The sequence below is a fragment of the Homo sapiens genome, chromosome 18 (genome assembly GCF_000001405.40).
Source record: "Homo sapiens chromosome 18, GRCh38.p14 Primary Assembly".
Classification (NCBI taxonomy): Eukaryota; Metazoa; Chordata; class Mammalia; order Primates; family Hominidae; genus Homo; species Homo sapiens.
In genome coordinates this window covers 77,080,697-77,105,401 of record NC_000018.10, presented here as the reverse complement: position 1 = coordinate 77,105,401, position 24,705 = coordinate 77,080,697, and the positions used below count along the sequence as shown (strand labels likewise).

Below are 24,705 nucleotides of genomic sequence, written 5' to 3'. Positions count from 1 at the left end.
TCTTCTCAAAAATGGGCATTACATATATCACAGGATTGTCTTTCTGATGGAAAAACAACATCGAAAACTCTAAGAGCACTAGACTTAGGGCTGACACTTTCTCTTTCTCTTTTAGCCTCTGAAGAGCCAATCCATTCAGGATGGGAAACCACGCAGGCAAACGAGAATTAAATGCCGAGAAGGCCAGTACGGTAAGACGTGAGCTGATCCGAAACATGTGCATGTTGTTTTCTTATTAAACACAAATCCCCTTGGTGTGTCAGAGGCTACGGGCATGGGCTCTTGCTGCTACACTCTTCCCTGACAGCTGGGTGGAAGCCTGGTCCTTGTTAATTATTATTAATAATTAATTATGATTTATTACGATTGATTATTAATTATTAATTTATTCAGGAAGATTGCATGGCAGTAGGTACATCCTGACCTTGCAAAGGAATAAAGGAATGAAGGAAGGGAAGGAGTTAGGAAGAAGAAAGAAAGGGAGGAAAAAAGAGACACGGAGAAGAAGAAAGAGAAAGAGGGAAACCAGGAGGAGAGGAAGACGAAGCAGCCCTTCCTCTTGGTCCACATTCTGTGATTGGTCCTAGAAGTATCAGGAGGCTCTCAGAGAGGAAAGAGATTGTAAATTCCTTTGTTCTGATGCAAAAATACTTTTGATTTTTTTTAACATTTTTATTTTTTAGAAAAAGGTATTTCCAAACTGCATTCTCTCTAACTAGCTGCTGGTTTGATAGAGCATGAAAATTTACACCAATTCATAAACAGTGAAACACATCAGACTTTCTTTTAGCTCAAAAACCTAATTCCATCTACGAAGGTCCCACTCCTTTCTTCTCACCCACCATGGAGTTTGCTCTGACTTTGCACTCTGGTCTGGTTCTGGAAGAACTCACACTGAATCCCAGAGGTCTGGCGAAAGGACAGGAAATACTTGAGCTGTTTCCTTGGCCCTCTCCTAGATCGATAACCTCCTTTCTCCTGCGTGCGGCTACTTGGCTCCTCACCAGTTCTCCTTCCTTTGGGGTCATGCTCTGGCCTGCCTGCATATTGGAATCTCCCAGAGACTTCAGACCTGCCAGGGTCTTTGCCCTCCTTAGATCCCAATGCAGACGTGGGCATTTTTCAAAGCTCTCCGGGCTCTACAGCCAAGGTTCCACGTTCCTCCTGCTCCCATGTGTCTTGTACTTTGGCTGCCAGGATTTTCCTCTATTGACTGGATCATCACCCTTCTGCCCCTAGAACTTCCAGGAAGTCCTTAGCGCAGACTAAAGTCCAAGGTCCTCAGCCTCTGGCTCCAGCCCTTCTTCAGTCTCACTGTCACTGGACTTTCCAGTGGCGGCTCCTCTACAGCCCATTCGTAACCCTTGTCAGGGAACATTTGGAAAATACAGTTAAACGGGAAACTGCAAATTAAAAGTCATTCGAATCCTTCCGGCTAGTAAGAATTCATCTTCTTTGTATTTCTAGCACGGCATTTGCCATTGTCCGCCTTATTTGAAGGCATCAGCTTCCTCTGTCTGATCTGGATTCTCTACGTTGCCTTCGGTTCCCCTGTAGTGCCCTGAATCGGGGTTCTGGACCCTTTTCCCACTGAGACGCTCAGGACAGATGATCCAATGATGTTGACAAGGACCACAAATGCCCAGGGGTCCTAGCTGTCTGTCTCTCTGCCTACCCCTGTCTCTACACTAGAGAATTGTTTCAGACTGTGAGGAGTAAGCCTGCCAGTGTGCACAGAACAGTGGACCCACCCTAATTTGTATGGGGGCGGCCCTTGCTCTTGGTCCATGCTGTGTGATTGTTCCCAGAAGTATCAGGAGGTTCTCGGAGAGGGAAGAGATTATGAAATTCCTTTGCTCTGATGCAAAAATACTTTTGATTTTTCAACATTTTTTATTTTTTAAACATACATGTTTTCCCCTCAAGGGAAATTATTCCATTTCGTTGGTACTTTAATTCAACATAAAATTATGTGTCTCCAACTCGAGGCAGATGGTGGTGCACTAGAATGTCCGGCTGCTGAAGATGGGCCGGGGTGAGGGTCAGGGGAACCCCCGACTTACACCCAGATGCTTTAGAAATGTCCGCGGAATTGAACGGAATTGAATTTCAGTCTCCAGACCTCTTCGCTGAGGTCTGTAGTGCGTTTTTATTTAATAGTAATAATAAACTTGGAAGAAATGGGGCCTTCTCTGATTTGTACTTAATTTCTATGTCAGCCACATGAGTAATTTTCCATGATTTGCTTTCAAATCATCCATGGAAGGCGAGTAGGTGACTATATACTGTTCCTGTGTATATTTTATCTTGATTAAAGTGATAAACAGTATTTAGTTTCTTACCTAAGGATTTAGAAAGACTAATTTTATAAATATGTAAATGGTTCTAGTCAATGTTGAATGGGAGGGTGACTCATTATTTTGTTCAGCCCATACTTAAACTGTATTACTGATAATGTCAGCATTATAATTAGCAATAACAACCATAAATGTATTAAGTTACTAATTTATTAAGAACATGGCTTGGATACAGTATCTGCACCAGGAGGATTAAGTTTCACCTAAAGTGAAAGTGGAAAAAACAGCTCTGCTCAGAGGCCTCTAGGCTGTTAACACTGTTGGTATTTTAAGTCTTAGAATGACTGATTTGCAACTCCAGTTTCAAGAAACCTCTCTGTGGTGTACAGTTTCTTTCCTGTTGTTTGACGCTGTAAAACACCCACATATGTTTTTAATTTGTTTAATGCTATCAGAGTAAGATTTTGAGCCATAGCAAAGCCCATGCTGAGGCTTTTGTTTTCTGAAATCTCATGTTTAAAGTTCTGATCATTTAAAAACCTCAAAACTTGGAAATGTTAAAACTATGGTTCCTGTAGGTAGTTTTAAGAAGTAAGAGCTTTTTTTTCTTTCCTTTAAACTTGATGGGAAATATTTTGTGCCCTTCCAAGTACATGTACATGTTCTGTGATGCTGCATAGCTTAGTAGAGCATTAAACTTGAATCACAAAAGAAAACGTGACATGAGCTCCAGCCGTGTCACCTACCACTCTGCACATTTCTGTGTGTGATTCTGGGAGGCATTTTTCCCCCTTATGAGAGAGTCAAGGAAAGTTTCTGTCAGTTTCAGGTGCTGGTTACTGATCTGTCAGCAGGGAGGGCAGCTGCGGTGGGGGCTGCCCGGTCTACCCCACACACTGCCTCTGCCCCACTGCCCGGCCCAGGCTGCTGAGGGCCCCCTCCTTCCCACCCTGCTGCCACCTTCTCCACCTCTCCCCACCCACACTAGATGATTCTTTCCTCTGCTGTCATAGAGCCTGCGGCTGAGTGCTCTGATACAGATCCTGGTGATTTGTTTATCATCCGACTTCTTCCCCTCCTATATCAAGGAGGGAACTTTCCTCTCTCTGATGCCTCCGTCTCTAAGCCTGGAGCATCCCCAGCACATAACTGGCTTACAGATGTTCGAAAGAGTAAATGAATCATACCTATTTCCTAACTTCTTTTTCACATAAAAGCTCAGTTTCCTGAGCAGGCTTTAGGTGCCGTTGGCTGCTGGGGAGGTGGTGGGGAGGCCTCGTCTGTTGCCTGCAGGAGCTTCCAGTCTCCTTTGCAAGTTTTGCCCTCAGTGACTCAGGGCTTTGAAATTTGCTTCTCTCTCATCCCGAATAAGCCACGGCAGGATGTAAGAGGAAGAGAAACTAACTAAAGGGTTAACTGTGGAATGTCTCTGATTGGTGAAAAAAAGACACTTTTCTGGAGTTGCAGTGTTAGTCCACTCATATGGGGTGCAGGTCCCTGGTAACAAGTGGTTGAGCCACCTTCCTGGGCCAGTTGAGGGTCAGAACAGGAGACATCAGATTCAGGCAGAAGCACTCCGCCCATCAGAGGAGTGGGCAGCCTGCCCTCCTGACTCATGATTCACTCATGCGGATGGAGTGTAACTTCCTCCAGGCAGGCGCAGGTTCAGGGCACAGCGCTCCTTCTCAGAAACGAAGAAACTCCTGTTCTGCCTTTGACTCCCTGTGTTTTTTAAGTTGCAGGGAAATTTGGTTTCCAAATGGTCCTGCCTCACTAATTTACCAGCTTTCTATCACTCTGCCCATTTTGTATTTGGTTCTCCATCTTACTACAGAACTTGGCAGAACCCAAGAAGGAAAGGGTGCCAGCTGCCCTGGAGAACCCAGGGACGTGCCTCAATGCCAGGAGAGGGGCAGGGGGCAAGACCCACCCACAGAGGGATGCCCTGTCTTAGGCAGTCTTTGCCTGCCTGGCAGTCCTTGGTCCTTAGGACGTAAGACACTTGGCTTCACTGGCTACTGGAGGAATTCATTCCTTTTTGGCAGTGTGAATCAAAGGGGCTGGGCAGTTACCTTTGGGAGGGTCAGCAAGCGCTCAGAACGTGCCCATGTGCCAGGCTGCTTGTGGCTTTTGTCCCTCAGCTTTCTCTGAATGCTGTGGATCTGCTGAGCTGTGGGCTTACTCTTTGGGGTTTTCTGGTGATAGCTAAGCCTCCTGGGGATGATTCACTACATGTTCAAAACACCAAACGAGGCCAGGTGCGGTGGCCCACACCTGGAATCCCAGCACTGCGGGAGGCTGAAGCAGGCAGATTGCTTGAGCCTAGGAGTTCGAGACCAGCCTGGACAACAAAGTGAGACCTTATCTCTACAAAAAAATCAAAAAATTAGCTGGGCATGGTGCTGTGCACCTACAGTCCCAGCTACTCGGAAAGCTGAGGTGGAAAGATCACCTGAGCCTGGAGAGGTCGAGGCTACGGTGAGCCATGATCACACCACTGCACTCCAGCCTGGGCAACAGAGTAAGACCCTGTCTCAAAAAAAAGAAAAAACCACAAAACACACACACACACACACACACACACACACACACACACCCCAAATTCTATCTAGGCCAGCGCTAACACTGTATTAGTGCCTCCTGTGAGCCAGGGACTTTGCAGACATTGTCTACATTGTATGTTGTATGAGTTCTTGGGGCTGCCATAACAAAATAGCAGACTAGGTGGCTTAAAAGACCGACATTTCTTCTGTCACAGTCCAGAAGACTGGAAATCTGACAGCAAGGTGCCAAGGGTTGGTCTCCTCTGCAGCCTCTCCTTGGCTTGTAGAAAGCATCTTCTCTCTGTGTCCTCCAGTGGTCGTCTCTCTGTGTGTGTCTGTGTCCTAATCTCTGCTTAGAAGGACAGCATCACGTTGGCTCAGGGCCACCCTACTCCAGTGGGACCTCATCTTAATGTCATGGCCTCTTTAAAGGCACCATTTCCAAATGCAGTCACGTTGTGAGGCAGTGAGGTTTAGGACATCCACGTATAGATTCAGGAGGATCACAGTTAAGCTTATCACATGTGTTACTTGATAAACCCCAGCAGCGGCTGCACAATTAGAGTAGAGAAGGAAAGTCCTGGGATTGGCATTTGCCGCCATGTCTGACACCTCCTGGGGAACGGACTCCACACCAGCAGCCACACGCAGTCTCTGCCCTGTCCTCAGGAGACAGCAGACCTGGTTTCCCTTCTGCAGACCCTGGTTGGGCCCTTCCTGTGCAAGGTTCCTTCTTCCTGCCTCCTGCCACAGGCCCCAGCTGGCGGCTCCCCCCAGGGCAGGTGTGCATCTGCAGAGCGCTCATCTCCCACGTGCTGAGTCATGGCTTTGCGCAGCCCTCCCCATACTTAGGACCCTCAAAGGATCATCTTCATTCTCCCAGGCACTGAGTCGCAGAGCTGGGCCGGGCCTGCCCGAGGCCAGGTAGCCAATGGTGGGGAAGCCAGAGAGCAAAGCCAGGCCTGGAGCCCCAGGTGGCACAGCCGGGCAGAAACGATCCTTGCGTGGGAGCGTCAGTCTTCTCGTGGCCACAGGAAATGAGGAAAGAGACAGGGGAAATCATTTTAATGTCATGTCTTTTCTTTAACCTAAGAAACCTCAAATGTCATGTAAGCATAGAATCCATATAAAAATTGTTCATGAAATGGTTAACAATTCTTCTCCCATGAAGTCCTCACACTCTAGGATATATTTTATCTCATGGTGCAGTGTGGCCTGGCTACGTCTCAGGTGCTAGGTGGCCACACGTGGCTGGGACCGTAGGTCTGGGCAGCACAGCTCCAACCCTGGCCGTGCCCACGCCCCCTGCCATCTATAGCCAGGCAGAACACACTGAGACCCCCCGTATAGTGTACGTCATGCAGTTCACCATCCCCTTTGTGCATGGTACCCATTGCTCGTTAAATAAGCACTTTCTAAAGAAGTCAGAAAAAATTGTAAATTACCAATATTTTTCCCTGAGAGATGCTTACAGGTCCAATGTTTCACACACTCCCCCTCCCCTTGTATGAAGTGAGTTGGGGTCGATAAAGATGAGGAGGAGGGAAGGAGGATGACGGGGAGGATGGAGAGGAGGGGAGAGAAGAGGAGAAGAGGGAGGGGGAAGGAGGAGTGAGAAGGAGGAGGGAGGGGGAAGGAAGAGGGGAGGGGGTAGTGGGTCAGGCTAATAAATGCAGTTGTAAGGATTGCCGTGGATAAAAATGCAGCGCGGAGGAGGAACAAGGAACGGCCCGTTTAAATCTGCCCAGACTCAGAGGCCGTTTAGGGCCGGTGAGAGTGATGTTTGCCGAAGGGCATCCAGCCCCACGTCCCACTCTGCCCTGCCTTGGCGGTGCCTCAAAGCCCTCCCAAGCCCTTACGGTAAAGGCTCAGACCTGGGACCTTAGCACAGCTTCTGAACCAAGAGCTGTGGCTGAGCCCTGCAGGTGTCATGACATTTATCAAGCTGTCTTGCCACGAATTTTCTCTGACAACACACAGCCTGTTTTTAATTCATGAGTGGATCGATCGTGCTCTTTCCAAATGCAGGTGAAAATTAGCTGTTTAGGACTGAAAGGAATGTTTTAAATGCTTGTTCATTCCTGCATTCATCCATCCCCACACACACATATTAAAAATACTTTTTATTATGTGCCCACTCTGCATAGGACAGTGATAAACTTTGTACATGAAAATTCCGGCTTCACCACCAGCTAGTTGGGTGATCTTGGGCAAGTTACTTTCTCTCTCTGTGCTTACTTAAGATGGTAACATGATACGATGATAACATTATGTAAAGTGAGTGAGTCCACATGTGTGGTGCACCCCCTTGTACATAGCAAGTGCTGTGTGTTGTTTGGTGTTACTAATTTTCTTCTTATTGCTATTATTGTAAAAAAAAAAAAAAAAAAAAAGGAAGTCCTTGTGTCTGTCCTCAGAATACCTCACAGTCTAATCAGGAGACCAACAAAATTACAAAAGCACACTCAGAGCAGTGATGGGTATGAAGAGCTCAGGACAGAAGCAGGACTCCCTGGGGCTGTAGAGCCCACAGGCCAGCAAGAGAAGCTACGGGGAGGGCTCACATAGAGGGAGAGACAGGGGTGTCCTTCCCCACTTCCCAGGGTTGAGACAAGCATAAGCAAATATTTAAATACTGTATTTTTTTAAAAAAAAGATTTGATTTGGGGCACCTGCTGCAAACCTCTCCCACTCAGTATCGCCAAGGCTGTAGGGTCCAGGTGTCCCCCTAATACCGGCTCCACCCAGTCCAGCTTTATCCCACAAAGAGCTCTGCCTTCCAAAACACCTGGCTCTGCAGACCCATCCAAATGTAACTCGCAGAGCGATTGCTGGGAGACAGCCACCCTCTGTGATGAATCCATGTCTCTGTGAGTGGCTGGCAGCTCCTAACACATCCCACTGAGATCTCAGTTTCTGAGAGGATGCCCGCTGGGTGAGGCTGCAATTTATTAACACAGGTTGGAATTGTCTCAGGCTGTGTAGAAGATGTCTGGCTCTGCAGATGGCCCTGGCTGAGACTCTGTCTCCCGAGGGTAGCTGTTTTCCTCTTGAATCCTGGAAGCTCAAAGCTCCCTTCTCCCCTAGGACATCGCCCAGAGCAGCAACATCCTGCGGAAAAGAGTGTCAGTGGCATCTTTTGTTATGCAGAGGAGATGGAATCCTCCCAGGTGACTGATAGCTGAGAGGGAGGGAAACTATCAGGAGAGCCAAGAAGAGAGATGGGTTCCAGGAGGAGAAAGTTGTCCACAACAGGAAGAGCTGCCACAGGGCTCCCCTCTGCCTGGCTCCTGCAGACCCCATCTTCACAGGTAGAGAGCTGGGGTCCCAATATCTGTGAGCCATGACCTTTGGGAATTTACCTGAACGATTATCCAAAGGATCAGGGGAGTCCTTGCCCCGAGTTGGCCCACAGTGGGGGGCTCACTTGTGTTGCCCTGTTGGTGGGGGGGTGTCCGTGGAAGGTTCCAGAACAGGCCTGGTCTCTGGGGACCCTGTACCCTTCCCCAGTGCTCCCTGCTCCCCCACTTCCCACCAACCCAAAGGAGGGGTTTGTAGTGCCCTTGAGTTATTTGTCACCATTTGAATTCTTTCACTTTGGTGTTTTGAACACTGTCTCAGTTCACAGGCGAATGAACTGGAAGATGAGAGGTCTGAAAACCTTATTATTTCTTTTTCTCATATGAAACTCACAAGACTTGCTAATTAGAAACAGTAAACCAGGAACCTTGAAAAATAAAAACACAACTTGTAGTTTATCTTCACACTTACATTTGCCCAAAATGGGTGAAATCAAGTGGTGAGCTCCAAAACATTCCAAAACCTAACAAGCAATAAGTCTGGAAACCTGCTTTTCAGCTGTGGGTGGGCTGAGAAAAGCTAGACACTGGGCTTTCCCTGGTCGTCATATCAGGCTCAAAAAGGTTCTACAAAGATGCCTAGCAATATTTCTGGATTTTTCTATTTAATCAGCTTAAGAAAAAAGATACCACACTTAAAAATAAGATCTGAGAGCCTGTAAAATCATATGTAAATTTTACAGTGGAGAGTAACTTATTGGTCTGTTTGGTGTTCCAAATTAAACTGATTTTTTTTTATTTAAGCTGCACATCAAATCTAACTGCAGACAGGAGGAATGAGGCATACGCTCTGCACCTCTCCAGGGGCAATCACACCCCCTGCAGAATCTGCTCCATATTTAATTATCATTAAAACCCAACTCTTTCTTGATGACACTCTCCAGATACTATTAAAATGACATTCTGAGAAATGAGACATTTAGTTTGCAAATATACACAAAGGCATTGAAGCAATTCAGCTCTTTCCATCAACATGTAAATAGAATCTTTCACTTTGATGGGAAAAATGCTTTTCCTTTAAAACTACTGACAGCCCAGCTGTGAAATGTCACTGACTTTTTCCAACTAGGAGTTATTTTCTCACGGCCATTCCTTTATGGAATCATAAATCCTGCAACATTTTATCCTACGTGCAAGAGATTGTCAGGGTATTTAACATCTTTAGTGAGTTCTGTTCTTGTCATATCATCCTCAGGAATGAAAAATAATTATATTTTAAGCCATCACTGGCTCACAGCTGCTTTATGCAATCATCTCTCTCTGCAGTAAAATTAAGTCCAGTGAGCGTAAACTTTGTTTTTGCTGACGGAGGTGTCCTCAGGCCCAAATGGTGCGTGCACATGGCGGGTGCTGACGTTGAGGAACTGTTTGTTAAAAGAATGAATCCTAACTGCCTGGGGTGTCTACGGAACATCTCCAGACATTCCCCTGCCCAGAGGCAGGTCCAGAAGCCACAAGACTGGGTGACATCTGAGCACATAAATGTGAAGGGGGCAGGAAAAGCCATCCATCCTCCCTGGAGAACAGCAGAGGTGCAACTGAAGCCCAGACCCATCAAACCTCCAAATCCAATGCGCTGTTTGTCCCTCCCTTACACTTCCTCTTGCAATTATGTGTTGAAACCGACCCCTGTCACCATAACCATTTCACAGAAAGGAAAGCCAGATCACTCAGAAAGTCACTTCCTTCCGGTCACCCAAACCCACACCTGGATTGCTGTGACACGGCTGTCATGCCATTGAGCGCCAAATTCCCTGGGAAATTCTTCCTTTCTGATCTGACTGCAGTGTGCTGGCAATTGACAGATCTGTACGTGTAAAATTTCTACTTTATAGGTAAGTCACATAAGCAGATTTTTTGAGAACTCATGTAATTCTTAAATTGGCCATTTAATATATGTTTAAAGGCTTAGGGAACTGAAAAGTAGGGGCTAAAGACACTCACTGATCTCACCTGACACTTGGACACATGCAGGCACTGAGAAATGCCTGGAAAATTCTTAGATTGTGTGGGTGCCGACAGGCTTTTTACTGTACCTTATCTTCAGCAGAGTTTAGAACTCTTTCACACACACCTCCCACATGACAAACCTCTAGAAAACTCTTGAACTCAATAGCAGAATATTAGACGATCTCTTAGTAGGCAGAAGTGCATTAAAATGGCCACACAACGTGGTCACAGCTCGCATTTGTTGGTAACTTACTATCAAGACACTCCCCTGCAGCACCTCCAGTGGGATGTTCTGCCATAATGGAGATGTTCTATATTTGTGCTGCCTGGTGACACGTTAGCCTCTAGACACATGTGGCCCACAGCACACGAAACGAGACCCTTATAACTGAACAACTGTGTTTTTAATGTCATATTTTTAAGCGATTTAGATGGAAGTGGCCACAGTTGCGAGTGGCTCCCCCCTGGGACAACAGAGCTCTCCTGTGTGCTGGCTGTGGCGACCCTTATTCTCCCATTGCCCTACTAGACAGGTATTAGCTCTGTTTGTCATGAGAAAAATTGGGGTGTTTCCCAAAATCATACAAAAGTTAATTTTGAGTTCAGAGGTAAACTTCTCTGAAAAATACAGTCACATTTATGAATGCCCCAAATAGAAAAAGACAATGCTGGCGTGCTGTAAACCATAGCACAAATGTACAAGTAAGCTCTCCTGTGCTCACCTCAACGTGGGAGAGTCCTACAGTCGTCATTTAACGTGGCACCCGCAGTAAAGTGTCCCCGTTAAGGTGTGCCTCCTGCAGAGTCCGGGAACCGGCACTTATGAGCAACGGAACCTTGTGTGGACTGCCTCTGGATGTGATGCACCCCCCAAAGCCCACCCTGCTGACTTGTGTGGTGCTTCCATAAAACTTCAGTGAGCTCCTAAAGAGAGGAATAAAATAATATAGAAAAGGCATCCTTTTAAAGAGAAACTTTAGGCTGGGCTCAGTGGCTCACGCCTGTAATCCCAGCACTTTGGGAGGCCAAGGCAGGCAGATCACGAGGTCAGGAGTTCAAGACCAGCCTGGCCAACATGGTGAAAACCCATCTCTATTAAAAATACAAAATTAGCCAGGTGTAGTGGTGAACACCTGTAATCCCAGCTACTCCGGAGGCTGAGGCAGGAGAATCACTTGAACCCAGGAGGTGGAGGTTGCAGTGAGCCGAGATTGCACCACTGCACTCCAGCCTGGGCGACAGAGCGAGACTCCGTGTCAAAAAAAAAAAAAGAAGAAAAAAAGACCCTTTAAAAACCCGTGAATAGTCAATAACCTGGTTACAGTAAGAAAAACCCCAAATGGAGCCATGTCTGACTTGAGAATGAGCGTAAGGCATGGTACTGGTGTGGTTTTATGAAACTGTGTTTGCATTTGGGAGCCAGCAGCCTCCCCTAAGGCGTGAGCGTGCTTTCAGGCTGCTGGGCGGGGTGTCCAGCAGTTGCAGCGCCCGCCCGTGGGAATTTCTTGTGAATGTTGTGTTTGACATGCAGAATTTCTTAGTGATATCAGAGAACAATCTTACGAGGTTCACCCTTGATAGCAGCCTCTCAAACGTTTTGAGTCAGTAATGTTTTGCTTCTGGAGGAGATTCACGAAGGAAGTCTCTCGTCCATGCTTGGTGGAAAGCACACCTGAAGGTCATTCTGGTTTTGGAGGCAGGGAAGTGGGCATTTGGCTTCATCTGATAAACGGTGACCTTTGTTAAAATCCCTTTGTTAAGTTGGAATGCAATGATTAAAGATATAAGGCGTAATTAGCAAACAAGGGCAGCCTCTCCACAACCTTTATTAAAAATAATGGGGTGATCGTGAAGTGGTGCCTCAGGGCAATGTAAACCCACAGGGCCTCCACACACCTGCACTTTGTGCACACGCCCCACCTGCGGCTCTCTCCTCATGCCGCCTTCCCTCTGCTGCAGCTCCCAGACCCAGCTCCGGTCAACCCCCTCGAGGTGGCCCCTGGGACCGCCGTATGAGCCTCTCTCCAACCGGATCCCTGATGCTCCCGGAGAGCCGGCCCAGCCTCGACCCCGGGTCTGGCTGAGGGCGACAGGGCTCCAGGCACACAATCCAGCTTCTGCTCAGACAACCCAGGGGCGGGCACTGTTCTTTTGCCCACAGCATGGGCATTCTCGGCCTGGGAGTTAGCTTACCAGCATCATTTTTGTCAGAAACTATGGCCCAGTTTGCAAGCAGCCAACTTTAAACAGACTTTGAGAGCACAACATTGAATGCTGGTTGCTGCGTGTAAGTGATGGAAACATAACAACAGTTCTTTGTGTGAAGTCAGAAACAGCGAAATACGCACGCGGGGCCGGTGTGTTCCCCACTGAGCAGGGCAGCAGGCGTGTCTCTCGTCATCGTCACAGACTGTAACGGGGGTCAGGGGAGCTGCTGAAGGAAACGGCCGATTTCGTGAAATGAGGAGCCTGCTTCTCCGAGGGGTCTGGCTAGTTTGTCCTCTTGTTTTTAGCTGGACTCGTAAAGCTCCCCCTTCCTTATTTCTTCCTTCACTGATCATGTTCCTCAGTTGCACCCTGCGTCTGTAACTTGTGGCTTGGTGAGATCTGGCAGCCAGCGGGGAGGCCAGAGAAGGGAGGATCTCGGCCTGTGTCAAAGAGGCCACAAAACCGGCAGAGCAGGGCTGATGTCATTAAGCAGGGTTTTTAAGGTGGAATGATGTTTGAGTTGTAGTGGATGCATCTCTGCGGACGAATTCTCGAGTCTGGGGCCGGTTTGCGTGTGTCCGTTTGCATCTGGAGAGCGCGGTGCTGAGTGCGGCCCGGCTGAATTCTGTGCATCAGTTATTCCCTGCCTGTGTGGCCATGACGACGCTCCTTCCTGGAAGAGTGGAGGGGCTGGGTTTCCTGGGGTGGGGAGCGCATTCAGTGCCCTTCTGCAGATGCCCCCGCGAGGGACAGAGGGAGGGTGCAGCCCGACGGGGAGCTGCTTCTAGTCACCAGTCTGCTCAGCGCTGGCCGCGGCCCTGGGCCTATGTGAGGCGCCGCGCACTGTGCCAGGTCATTTCGGAAACGCCGCCGTGTAATTGCAGCTGTGCAGAGACAGGTTTATTTTAGACTCTGGAAGTGGAAAGCACGCCCTTTCGTCTAAAATCTGTGCTTGCTTTTACTATTAGGAAAGAACTTTTTTATATTTAATAAAATGCACTTAAAATGTTTTAAATGAGATGAAACCTAAAAAATCCAGCTTTCAGAATGATGTTCCCTATCTTCGGCAATCTGGTTTTAAAAGTTTAAATTTGGAAGTGAGACTTTTTATATAATGGAATATGTTTGTGAAAAATTATATCTCTGTGTTTGTAACTGTGCATATGTGGTATGTGCACGTGTGTACATGTATGTATGGGTGTGTGGTGTGTATACATGTGCGGGTGTGTGTCTGTGGTGTGTATACATGTATGAGGATGTGTGTGTGGTGTGTGTGTGGCATATATACATGTATGGGATGTATTTGTGGTGTGTATATGTGTGTATGTGGTGTGTTTGCATGTATGGTGATGTGGGGGTGTATACATGTGTGTTCACGCATGTGTGCATGTGTGTTTGTGGTGTGTATACCTGTATAGGGGTGTGGGTGGGTGGGTGTGTGTGTGTGTGTGTGTGTGGTTTCTCTTGCCCTGCAGACGTCATCCGTGGCGAGTGCCCTTGAACACTGTGTGGCCTCTTCCCGCACTCAGCCCTAGCTCTGCACCTGGGTGGTTCCTACCTGTCATTCTCTTCACTGTAGTTTGATGTCTGTATTAATCTAATTATCATATTTTAAAATGTAATTATCATATAATTATAAATAAAATTCAATATTACATTTCTGCAGCCTTTGATACTTGGAAAACAGAGTCCTTGCTACTAAAGAATTTATTAAATATTAAATAATTTATTGAATGCATCCTAAATTATGCTTGAGCACAATTCATATATAACCAAATACAAACTGTAAGTCAGGCAATTTTGTAATTATACTAATTATCCACAGTGATTTAGGATAAGTGCAGTGTAGATCATTGTTAGCTGTGTGTGCAACCTCACTGTATGATCTCATAATTGCATTGAGGCACTTAACAAAACACCAGTGTCTAGAAATGTTCACGTAAAGGGCTAGCTTGTATGTTGTTTTCGAATGTGTGGTAGGAATTTACCTCTTTTAGGAATGAGTTTGAGGAATGTCCTGTGAGCACAGCCCAGGCTCACTCTCTGCCCTCTCACAGCAGGCCTGGGCTCCAGCTGCACTGCTGCCTCCCCCTGCCACCTCTGTGCCAGCACGGGAACTCTTCCTCCCTTCTGCCCCGTCCGGCCCTGGTCCTGTGTGAGGTCGCCCCTTCTCTTCTCCTCCAGGGGAACGAGGGGAGAGTCATTTAGGTTGAGACTCCCCGGTTGTCCTGCAGATAGGCAGGGGGAGCACAGCAGACACAGTGCTAGAGGACATGGGTTCAGAGAGGAGAGTCCGCCGCTGAGCCTGGACTTCACCATCCCGGGGTCAGGAAGGTGAGGCTGATAAGGAAAGCCCGAGAGCCGGGAGGATAGACGTGTCCAAAGTGAGGTGTTAGGAAACGTCCCACCAAGGAGAGAGCATGGGGCCATCAGACACCCGGGAGTCTAAGAGAGATGGAGACTGAGGACTGGCATTGCGGGTGCACCGGGAGGTCACAGCTGCAGGGACAGAGCCACCTCAGTGGTGAAAACCCAATCAGTGTTTTGTTGGCGAGGAAATGGCAGGAGGAGATTGGATTGGTGTGTATGGAAGTCTGTTTTGAGAAGTTTTGCTGTAAAGAGGAGCTGAGACTCAGAGTGGTAGCTGGTGAAAGCATGGATCCAAACAGTGTTGTTTGGTATGGACACGTGAGTGTGAATAGCACGTTGTCGGCTGAGGCAAATGGTAGGATGTGAGGGTACAGAGATGTCTCTGATTTTAATTTAGTAACGTTTAATTTCATGCTTGCTAGAGTTGCGACTTTGTTTTGAAAAGGAGGAAAGCACGTTTGTCTCAACCTCAGGCAACGGGGGCTAGACATTACTACTGGCCCCAGGACTCTCCCCGAGGCCAGTTTACACCTTCGTTTAAGGCTGAGGCCCCTCTGACAGGTGGGTCTCCATGTGTCTGCTGACCAGGGAGAGCAAGGCCACACTGCACAGAAGGCCGCTGCCTTCACCTGCACCTGCAAAGCTGCAGGTCACAGTTCAGCAAATCCCACCAAGACTTGGAGGTGTACCAGCAGTACTGTCTGATCTGTGAGTGTCTGACTATCCTGTCACAGCCAGGGACACAGATGAAGATGCCATTCTAGGTGATGTGGGGACACCCCTGAGCCTTGGGTTTTGGAATGCATGCCTAGGAGCTAGGGCAAGAAGAGACAAGGGCCTGAACTGACTTCTCATCACCTCCTGCAGATATTTCAGGCAGATGCACCAGCCAGACTCCCTATGCTGTATTTTTGCTGTCAGACCAAGAAGAAAATATTCGTAAAAGTCACGGCAGGATGGGACCCTCCGGCCTGAAAAGTACTGTAGCCTCCAAGAGCCCAAGAGCGGCTACTCCCACGAACTGCCACATGCTGAATGCCTAAAACAACAGGAATTTATTTTCTTAGGGACCTGGAGGCCAGAAGTCTGACATCAAGGTGTGGGCAGGGTCATGTTCCCCTGCCTGAGGCGGAGGCTCTGTGGGAGAACCCCTGCTGCCCCTCAGGGCTTCTGGAGGCTCCTGCCACGTTTTGTGCCTTGAGGCTGTGTCCCTTCTCTCCAGTTTCTGCCCCTGCCTTCTCCCTGCCTCTTCTCTTCTTTGTGTAGCTCTCTGTCTTCTCTCCTTAGGACACTAGTCATTGGATCAGGGCATACCTGGATAACCGGGTCTGGTGAGGCAGGAATTCCTGCCCTGGGGCCATGGAAATGGCCGCACACTTGACATCTGACACTGGCCAGGTGAGGTGTGAGTCACTCACAGCCCGAGGGAGGGAGACAGGGCCTGCCAGCCAGGGCCACACAGGGGTCACACCTAGGAATGGAATGAACACCCAGGGGCTGTGGAAGGCAGGCCGTGTAGTTCGGAGAAGGCAGTGCCCTCTGTGTCCTTTGTAGTATGAAGAAGGCAGGTGCCCTGTGTCCCGTGGGAGGATGTGACAGGCTACGTGAATAATTCCGCCAGCTGTCAGGGAACCAAGGCCTGTGATGCAAGGTGAGCACCACTGCGCCAGGCCCTGTGACAAGGAGGGTGGGTGGCCTGGGCCTTGTCCATCGGAGCAGGGGAGTGTCCACACATAGACTCAGGCCTTGATTTTAGGCCTTGTAGCCCATGCAGACTGATCTCATCTGGAGATCCTTAACTTCATTAAATCTGCAAAGACTCTGTTTCCAAATAAGGACATCTTCAAGGCGCTAGGGGCTAGGACTTGGGCATATTATTTTTGGGGGAAAAGGGACACAACCCACTGCAGGGATCATTAATGATTTGAATATAAAAGGTGGATTTGTAAAGTTTTATTCAAAAAAAATTTTTTTATCCTACTGATCTTTTGTATTATTATAAAAACCAGTTTGTTTTAGAGAAATAAAGAAGCACAAAAAAACTGTTTAATAATGGCAACTTTACCCAATGCTAATGATTTACAATATCTCTAGAACATTTTAATCTGCATGTGATTATTATCATACGCATGCATCATACCAGAATAATGTTTCCCAATTTTTTTGTATGTAAGAAGGTTATGGGCCTGTGACAACATTAAAAACTGAGCATCTGGTGTGCCCTGAAGGTTGGTGGCCCCAACAGTCATACGTTGGTACCTAGCACCCAACGTGACAATGTTAAGAGGTGGGTCTTTGGGGTGCAGTTAAGTCCACAGGCCCCTCCTTCATGGATGGGTCCTGCCCTCATTAAAGGGGCTGGGGGTTCCCTCGCCCCTTCTGCTGGACGTGGACGCAGCTGGAAGGCACTGTCCCTGAGGGATGCCCGGGGCCCTCACCAAAGCCACCTCTTCCCAGCCTGCAGAACCGGTAGGAAGGGTTTTCTGTGGTTTATAGCACCCAGGCTACAGTATTTGTTTATTGAGGCCCCAGCACTCGAAGACGCATCCCGGAGGCCAGGTGGCCATGCGTGGCCAGGGTCTCTGCTGTGGGCGAGAACCCGGCCTTAGGAGCCCCGTAGGTGTGGCCTGGAGGGCCCGGGCTCCCTCGCCAAGGCCGTTCCTTGCCTGGGCTCGGAGGGTGGGAACCTGCCTGCTCCTCCCGCTCCCCTCCAGGCGCCGCGTGGACATAGGCTGTGGAAGTCCCCGGAGACCCCTGCCCCATCCCCTGCCCCGCGGGGTGTCAGCGGTGGCCTCCCAGGCAGCAGGAGCGCGCAAGTGGGAAGCGGGGATCCCAGCCCACGTGCGTGGGGTGCTCCCAGCTGCCCCGGGACCTGTCCCCAGGGCGACCCTGGGAGGAGAAGGCCCCATCCCAGCGCCTGCCTGGAAGGAGGAACCCGGCCCAAGAGGAGCTGCCCGGGGCGCGCCCAGGCTCCCCTCCCCAGGCCTCCCGGCTCGCCTCCCCTCCCCTCCCCTCCTCCTGCGGTGTTTGCCTCCAGCCTTCCCTAGATTCCCACGCCGGCCTCACCCTACAGCGCTGCGCGACTGCTTTGCAGAAGCCAGATGATTCTGCCTGTGCAGGAATGAAGTGCGACCCGGCGCGCGAGGGAGGGAGGCCTCTGCGCTTTGGCTCCGGCCGCGCCTCCTCCCTGGGATCCGGTCTAGGGCTGGCGAGCTCCGCGGATCCCTGCTCAGAGCGGGGCTGCTGCACCACCTGCCGCGGGTGGCCAAAGCAGAAAAAAAAGAAAAAAATGGGAGTGGGGAATACAAACGTCTTATTTTCTTTTAAAGGTAAGGTCATCATCAATGTTGGCCTTTTTCTGGGGCCAGGGAGACCTGGCCGCGCCAGGTGAGTGCGAAGGTCGCGTGTTCCTCCCCGCCAGGCTCCGCGGGGGTTTTCCCTAAGGGGCAGGGCAGAGGGGTGGGGCGCTGCCGCGGGGCTATTTCGCCTCCTGGATGGGTCAGGAGTCCCTCCCTCTTTCCGTTTGCGGTGGCAAGGGCTCTGCCAGTGCTTCGCATCCAAAAGCATGTGTCTTCGTTGTTGTTGTTTTTTTTTTCTATGGAATTAATAAAGGGGCTGTAGTGATTGATGAACCATTTATTTTTATACTTTTCAAATAAAACAGATTGAATGTAACATTTGGTGGATCGCCTATTCTTCCGTGGCAATTTTAGTCTTTTTAAAAAGTGGTTTATTGCAATGCGTTTCGAAGTGAACTATGACGTGGTGTCTGGAGAACATTAGAGGAGCGTATACTGCTTCCTTTTGACGAGCTGTTCTTAAGACACTCTTTTCCTGTCATTGTTGGAATACAAAATATTTAGATGTTCTGTTTAGGAACATTATAATAGCTCATGCCTTTTTTGCCAACTCCTCAACATGTAAAAGAAAATCGGTTTTTTATGGTTTGTTCTTGAGCTTGTAATAATGTGCATTAAACTATAAAGACTAGGAGATTGATTTTTCTTTGAAGTCATAATTCCCTTAGCGCTTAAAATAGAAGTATTGTTTCATGAATAACTCAGAGAAACCCATTTAATCTGCATTATTCCTGGATAGATTAGTTGTGTGACCTGTGAGAATGAGTTGAATGCTCCATAGAGAGGTTTTTCAGTATTTTTATGACTTGCATCTTCGTGTAACCATATTCTAACTTGATTTGATTACCCACTACAAGGCTAGAGAACATCTGTGGCCTGAAAAACAACATTTCTCCAGAATGTGGATTTGCAGAGAATATCCTGTTTAGACTCTTGAAAATGAGGAATTGTCCCTAATTGATCGTGATGGTTGGCATCTATTCGCACTTGTATGCATGAACTCTTTGGAACACATGCAGTTACTTAATAAAGTCAGGGTGACTAATTTTGCTCTTGAATGGGTAGGAACAAGCATTAGCCTGGTCTGGGTTCCTCCAGCTCTTAGGACAAGTTGGAACAGATTTGCTGTTCTGATGATTCATCTTTCTGATCACAGGGATAGCAGAACTCAGCTTTGAAGAAAGGCATCTGCAGAGATCATGGCAGTTCCATTTTGCGTTCTGAGTTTGCTCCTTTAGGTAAGGGAACTAGAATGCAGATGCAGTTAGAATCAGTCTCTCTCTCTCTCTGTTTGTCTGTCTGTCTGTCACTCTCTCTCTCCTTATTGCACTGAGGGCCGGGCGCGGTGGTTCACACCTGTAATCCCAGCACTTTGGGAGGCTGAGGCAGGTGGATCACGAGGTCAGGAGATCGAGACCATCCTGGCCAACATGGTGAAACCCCGTTTCTACTAAAAATACAAAAATTAGCCGGCGTGGTGGTGGACGCCTGTAATCCCAGCTACTCAGGAGGCTGAGGCAGGAGAATTGCTTGAAACCGGGAGGTGGAGGTTGCGGTGAGCCGAAATTGCGCCACTGCTCTCCAGCCTGGGTGACAGAGCAAGACTCTGTCTCAAAAAAAAAAAAAAAAAAACTTATTGCACTGATGCTCACATTAAAACCTGGTTTTTACTTAAGAAGATTTTATGTTCACCTTTCCAAAGGCCTGACTATGGAAAACAATCAGAAGATGAATGACAGTAAAAACATAATGGTGACACGTGGCATTGGCTCCGCGCTAGCTGAGCACCAGATACTGTCATGAGCCTTACATGAGCCCTAAAAGGGCCATGAGATCATTCAATGTTCACAGTGACCCTGTGAGATAGAAAATATCATTCTGCCTATTCCACAGTGGGAGAGAAACTAAAGAGATAAGAAGATTGGCAGGGCCAAGCTACACATTCAGAGAAGGGTACATCCTTTTTCTCTGTTACTGTCTTTTGAGCAAAGATCTTTCTTTGTATATTTGACCTATTGCCCTTCTACCACATCTGCATTATAGGACACAGTTCAATACAGAAACACATGTAGGCACAGGGGAATATGTTCTGGGGAATTAAGTAGGACTGTTTTTTTTTTAATTATATGAAACTAAAGGAAGGGTATTCACCATCAAATTAAGAAGATTGGAGTATTCCATTGCATTCCTCTGTTTTTAATAATGTGCAATATTCTTTTGAACTGAATAACGGCCCTTAACCTTACATGAATTAGCTTTAAGTGCATTTTATTCAAACTTGAAATTCACTCAACTATCAAACTCTTGTAGTAAAAGAGCCACACTGAATCAATCTCTCTCTCTCTCTCTCTCTCTCCCCCCTCCCCCTTCTTAATGTGATCATCCTTCTTATTTTACTTAACCAGCTGATGGAGCGGTGGCTTCCAGGAATAAATGGCAGAGTATTTTGTGTTCCTAAAATAGAAGTATGTCCAGTTACATAACAGACCTTGATAAACAGTCTGATGGTGACACTGGTTAATGTTTGCTTGGCTGTAATTTCTAGAAGACAGTGTTTAAATAATATTCTGAGCACATTTCTTTGTATTGTCAACCTAGATAACAAACAGAAAGACTCTAAAAAACCATGTTTATCTAGGAATTGCATTGCAATGGGAATACATGTGCCATGGTAAGCTATGTGTGCATTCCGGGAGGTGAGAGAAGACAAAGCTTTTTTAAGGAAAAATAAGGAGGATTATACATTGTTCTGACATAATGATCCTTGGCTACAAGGATCAATAGCAAGGGCGGTGCCAGCTGGAGGCCGGACAGGCAGTTGCTGGGCAACTGTCCTCACGGAAGTGTGTGTGTGTGTGTGTGTGTGTGTGTGTGTGTGTGTGTGGTGTGGTGTGGCGGGGGGGGCGGTGTTGTGATGGTCTTTTTGCAGGGTTGTGGTTTTCGCAGTCTTTTGTAGCAGCTCTTGTCATCAGGCATTTATTTATGCATGAAAATCCTCCCTTCGTGGCCTTCCCTGGCTTCATTTTTCAGCATTTTAACCTAAGTGACTCCATTTTGATTCTGACAAGCTTCACAGTACTCATTATTTACACACTGCCATCTTAATTACACTACAAAATGATCTCACAAAGAGTGTGGCTTTAAACTGAAAGGGCCATTTACTAATCTAAGTAATGTTGTCTGTGGGAAAATGGCTTCCTGAGTTCCCTCCAACATGTGGTTCCAAATGCCCTTTCAATAATGCTACAATGTTTCATTTTTAACTACCCATAAACTGAGCGTTTATGGGTTTTTTAAAAAAAAAAACAGCTTTATTGAGATGTAATTCAAATGACATACAATTCACCCACTTAAGGTGTACAATGCAGTCTTGTTTACTGGATACGTGCAACTATCCCAACAGTCCATTTTACAACATTGACTTCACCTCCAAAAGAAACCTGTGCCTTCTAGCAATCCCTCCCATCCCTCCTACAGCCCTCAGCAATCACCGGCTCACTTCTTGTCTGTAGGGTTCGCTCTTTCAGATATTACGTCTGAGTGGAATGATTTCCATGATCTTTAGTGTCCAGATTCTTTCATGTAACATGATGTTTTCAGGATTCATCCATGTTACAGCATATATCAGTGCTTTATTCTTTTTTATCTATTATATTAAAATATAGCTAAGTAATATTCCATTGTATAGATATACCACATTTTGTTAACCCATTCATCTGTTGGTAGATGTTTGTGTTTATACTTTTTTGGCTATCATGAATAACACTGCTATAAACAAAAACTCAAGTGCAACTTTTTATGTGGACACGTTTTTATTTCTCCTGTGTAGTTTCTTTAAAAACAAATCCTGAATTCTGATATACTCATGTTATCAAAAGTGCTTCCTGTGTTTTCCTCTGATACTATCAAAATTTGTCAAAACTTTGTCGAAAGAAAAGGTCAAAGAAAAGGGTCCTGGACGTCGTTGTAATTTTCCTCTGGGTCCTCAGGGTTGATCAGGAAGTATTTACTGAACCTTTACTCATAAACCCATTCAAATAACCACTCTAGGTGGGGCATGATGGCTCACGTCTGTAAGCCCAGCACATTGGGAGGCCAAGGCGGGCAGATCACTTGAGGTCAGGAGTTCAAGACCAGCCTGGCCAACGTGGCAAAACCCTGTTTTTACTAAAAATAGGAAAAAAAATCTTAGCAGGGCATGGTGGTCCCAGCTACTCGGGGGGCTGAGGCATGAGAATCGTTCAAATCCAGGAGGTGGAGTTGCAGTGAGCTAAGATTGTGCCACTTCACTCTAGCCTGGGTGACGGAACAAGACTGTGTCTCAAGAAAAAAAAAAAATACTCTATCCCGAAGCAGAATAGCCAGACTAGCAATTAGTTAAAGAGAATAGTTAGTCTCCTTAAATGTTAATTCCCCACATTTCAAAACCAGTCTGGGATCCTGGCACTGAACCACATGGCATTCCCTAGACCACCTATGACAGCCAGCTGCTGCAGGGAGGAAGGATTCTTCATCCTTCTGAGCCACATGGCGTCCCCCAGACCACCTGGTCCAGCTGCTGCTGCAGGGAGGAAGGATTCCTCATCCTTCTGAGCCACATGGCGTCCCCTAGACCACCTGGTCCAGCTGCTGCAGGGAGGAAGGATTCTTCGTCCTTCATGGTTCTTCCCTGAGCCGCATGCCCAGTCAGCATCTCACTGGGTCCTGGCTATTGGGTGCGCACTGGTGTGTACATGTCCATGCTTTCAGTACATTCACAGGATTGTGCAACCATCACCACAATCTGATTTTAATACATTTTTGTCAGCCCTGAAAGAAACTCCATACCTATGAGCAGCCACTGCCCAACCCCACCCGACCTCATCCTATTCCCCAACCCAAGATAACAACTAATGTACTCTCAGTGTCTATAATGTGCCTGTTCTGGACTTTTCATACTTATGGAATCTTACATGAAAAGGCGGGTTTTTGCGAGTGGCTTCTTTCACGTAGTGTAATGCTTTCAAGGCTCATCCATGGTGTAGCACGTACCAGTCCTTCATTCCTTTTTATTGCTGAATAATATCCCACTGTAGGACTATCTCATATTTTATTTATTCATTGACTAGTTGATGGACATTTAGGTAGTTTCTACCTTGCGGCTATTATAAAATATGCTGCTATGGGCCGGGCGCAGTGGCTCACGCCTGTAATCCCAGCACTTTGGGAGGCCGAGGCGGGCGGATCACAAGGTCAGGAGATCGAAACCATCCCGGCTAACACAGTGAAACCCCGTCTCTACTAAAAATACAAAAAAATTAGCCAGGCGTTGTGGCGGGCACCTGTAGTCCCAGCTACTTGGGAGGCTGAGGCAGGAGAATGGCGTGAACCCGGGAGGCAGAGCTTGCAGTGAGCCAAGATCATGCCACTGCACTCCAGCCTGTGCGACAGAGCGAGACTCCGTCTCAAAAAAAAAAAAATATATATATATATATGTGTGTGTGTGTGTGTGTGTGTATATATGTGTGTGCATATATATATACGTGTGTGTGTGTGTGTGTGTGTGTGTATATATATATATATATATGCTGCTATGAAAATCCCTGTATAAGCTCTGTGTGGACATCTGTTTTTATTTCTCTTGGGTGTATTCTTAGGAGTGGAGTTGTGGGTCATGTGGTAACTTTATGTTTCAGTTTTTGAGGAACTGCCAAACTTCCTTCCACAGAGTCCACTTACTTCCCACTAGCAATGTACATGAATTCCAACTTCACCACATCCTCACCAGCAGCTGCCATTAGTCTTTTTGATTCTAGCCATCCTATAGGTGGTATCTCATGGTGGTTTGATTTGCATTTCCTTACTGCGTAATAACGTTGAGCATTTTTTCATGTGCTAACTGGTCATTTGTGTATCTTTTTTAAAGAAATGTCTATTCAAATTTTTTCCCCATCTTTCGAACTTGGGTTTTTGTCTTTTTGTTGTTGAGTTGTAGGAATTCTTTACATATTCTGGATACATGATCTTTGTCAGATGTGATTTGCAAATATTTTCACCACTTCTCCGGGTTGTCTGTCCCTTTCTCGACAGTGTCAAAGGTTCTCCATGTTAATAGTCTCACTGATCTGTGGTTTCTTCCATTGTTCATGCTTCCGTGTCATCTCTAAGAGCTGCCGCCCAGGAGGCACTTGTTTTAAGGACTGAGGTAACTTCCCACCTCCAGTCAGTCTCTACTCCTGAGTGTTGTCCCTTCTTTCAAATTATTGTTTTAAAAGTTGAGTTTTAAGACTATACTTTCAGGGATCATTTCTACAGTTTGTTAAAAGTAGAGTTTTGATTAAAAAAAAGTGTCTTGGCTGGGGGCAGTGACTCACGCCTGTAGTCCCAGCACTTTGGGAGGTTGAGGCGGGTGAATCACTTGAGGTCAGGAGTTCGAGACCAGCCTGGCCAACATGGTGAAACCCTGTCTCTACTAAAAATACAACAGTTAGCTGGGCGTGGTGGCGAGCACCTGTAATCCAGCTACTCGGGAGGCTGAGGCAGGAGAATTGCTCGAACCCAGGAGGCAGAGGTTGCAGTGAGCTGAGATTGTACCACTGCACTCCAGCCTGGGTGAGAGAGTGAGACTTCATCATAAAAA

The 24,705-nt window shown here is 47.2% G+C and overlaps 1 protein-coding gene and 1 long non-coding RNA gene across 19 annotated transcripts in view, besides 11 other annotated features; both read left to right on the top strand.

Moving 5' to 3' along the window:
• MBP (myelin basic protein) overlaps positions 1 to 24,705 on the top strand; it is a 154,876-nt gene that overhangs the window by 28,307 nt on the left and 101,864 nt on the right. For all 18 annotated transcript variants that reach the window (XM_047437533.1, XM_047437532.1, NM_001025101.2 and 15 more), the window contains one exon: positions 116 to 191. In XM_047437533.1, the coding sequence (XP_047293489.1) occupies positions 141 to 191 (51 nt within the window). In that variant the 5' untranslated portion in view covers positions 116 to 140. The remainder of the gene's footprint in view (positions 1 to 115; positions 192 to 24,705) is intronic.
• Positions 3,162 to 3,281: a silencer, noted in NCBI's record as "silent region_9563". NCBI's record gives its function as "represses an Ori minimal core promoter by ATAC-STARR-seq in GM12878 lymphoblastoid cells {active_cell/tissue: GM12878}" and the evidence as "EXISTENCE:reporter gene assay evidence [ECO:0000049][PMID:35858748]".
• Positions 3,572 to 3,641: an enhancer, noted in NCBI's record as "active region_13527". NCBI's record gives its function as "activates an Ori minimal core promoter by ATAC-STARR-seq in GM12878 lymphoblastoid cells {active_cell/tissue: GM12878}" and the evidence as "EXISTENCE:reporter gene assay evidence [ECO:0000049][PMID:35858748]".
• Positions 3,732 to 3,861: an enhancer, noted in NCBI's record as "active region_13526". NCBI's record gives its function as "activates an Ori minimal core promoter by ATAC-STARR-seq in GM12878 lymphoblastoid cells {active_cell/tissue: GM12878}" and the evidence as "EXISTENCE:reporter gene assay evidence [ECO:0000049][PMID:35858748]".
• Positions 4,965 to 5,723: an enhancer, noted in NCBI's record as "H3K27ac-H3K4me1 hESC enhancer chr18:74811635-74812393 (GRCh37/hg19 assembly coordinates)". NCBI's record gives its function as "activates a minimal SCP1, AML or CMV promoter by ChIP-STARR-seq in naive H9 embryonic stem cells {active_cell/tissue: H9 hESC(naive)}" and the evidence as "EXISTENCE:reporter gene assay evidence [ECO:0000049][PMID:30033119]".
• Positions 4,965 to 5,745: a biological region, named in NCBI's record as "H3K27ac-H3K4me1 hESC enhancer GRCh37_chr18:74811635-74812393".
• Positions 5,526 to 5,745: an enhancer, noted in NCBI's record as "active region_13525". NCBI's record gives its function as "activates an Ori minimal core promoter by ATAC-STARR-seq in GM12878 lymphoblastoid cells {active_cell/tissue: GM12878}" and the evidence as "EXISTENCE:reporter gene assay evidence [ECO:0000049][PMID:35858748]".
• Positions 7,240 to 7,997: an enhancer, noted in NCBI's record as "OCT4-NANOG-H3K27ac-H3K4me1 hESC enhancer chr18:74809361-74810118 (GRCh37/hg19 assembly coordinates)". NCBI's record gives its function as "activates a minimal SCP1, AML or CMV promoter by ChIP-STARR-seq in naive H9 embryonic stem cells {active_cell/tissue: H9 hESC(naive)}" and the evidence as "EXISTENCE:reporter gene assay evidence [ECO:0000049][PMID:30033119]".
• Positions 7,998 to 8,756: an enhancer, noted in NCBI's record as "OCT4-NANOG-H3K27ac-H3K4me1 hESC enhancer chr18:74808602-74809360 (GRCh37/hg19 assembly coordinates)". NCBI's record gives its function as "activates a minimal SCP1, AML or CMV promoter by ChIP-STARR-seq in primed H9 embryonic stem cells {active_cell/tissue: H9 hESC(primed)}" and the evidence as "EXISTENCE:reporter gene assay evidence [ECO:0000049][PMID:30033119]".
• On the top strand, positions 12,539 to 18,056 carry LOC124904328 (uncharacterized). The gene is made up of 2 exons (XR_007066420.1): positions 12,539 to 16,125; positions 16,282 to 18,056. It is a non-coding gene; the product is annotated as an uncharacterized LOC124904328 (long non-coding RNA).
• Positions 12,640 to 13,147: an enhancer, noted in NCBI's record as "H3K27ac-H3K4me1 hESC enhancer chr18:74804211-74804718 (GRCh37/hg19 assembly coordinates)". NCBI's record gives its function as "activates a minimal SCP1, AML or CMV promoter by ChIP-STARR-seq in naive H9 embryonic stem cells {active_cell/tissue: H9 hESC(naive)}" and the evidence as "EXISTENCE:reporter gene assay evidence [ECO:0000049][PMID:30033119]".
• Positions 14,052 to 14,551: an enhancer, noted in NCBI's record as "H3K4me1 hESC enhancer chr18:74802807-74803306 (GRCh37/hg19 assembly coordinates)". NCBI's record gives its function as "activates a minimal SCP1, AML or CMV promoter by ChIP-STARR-seq in primed H9 embryonic stem cells {active_cell/tissue: H9 hESC(primed)}" and the evidence as "EXISTENCE:reporter gene assay evidence [ECO:0000049][PMID:30033119]".
• Positions 14,552 to 15,053: an enhancer, noted in NCBI's record as "H3K4me1 hESC enhancer chr18:74802305-74802806 (GRCh37/hg19 assembly coordinates)". NCBI's record gives its function as "activates a minimal SCP1, AML or CMV promoter by ChIP-STARR-seq in primed H9 embryonic stem cells {active_cell/tissue: H9 hESC(primed)}" and the evidence as "EXISTENCE:reporter gene assay evidence [ECO:0000049][PMID:30033119]".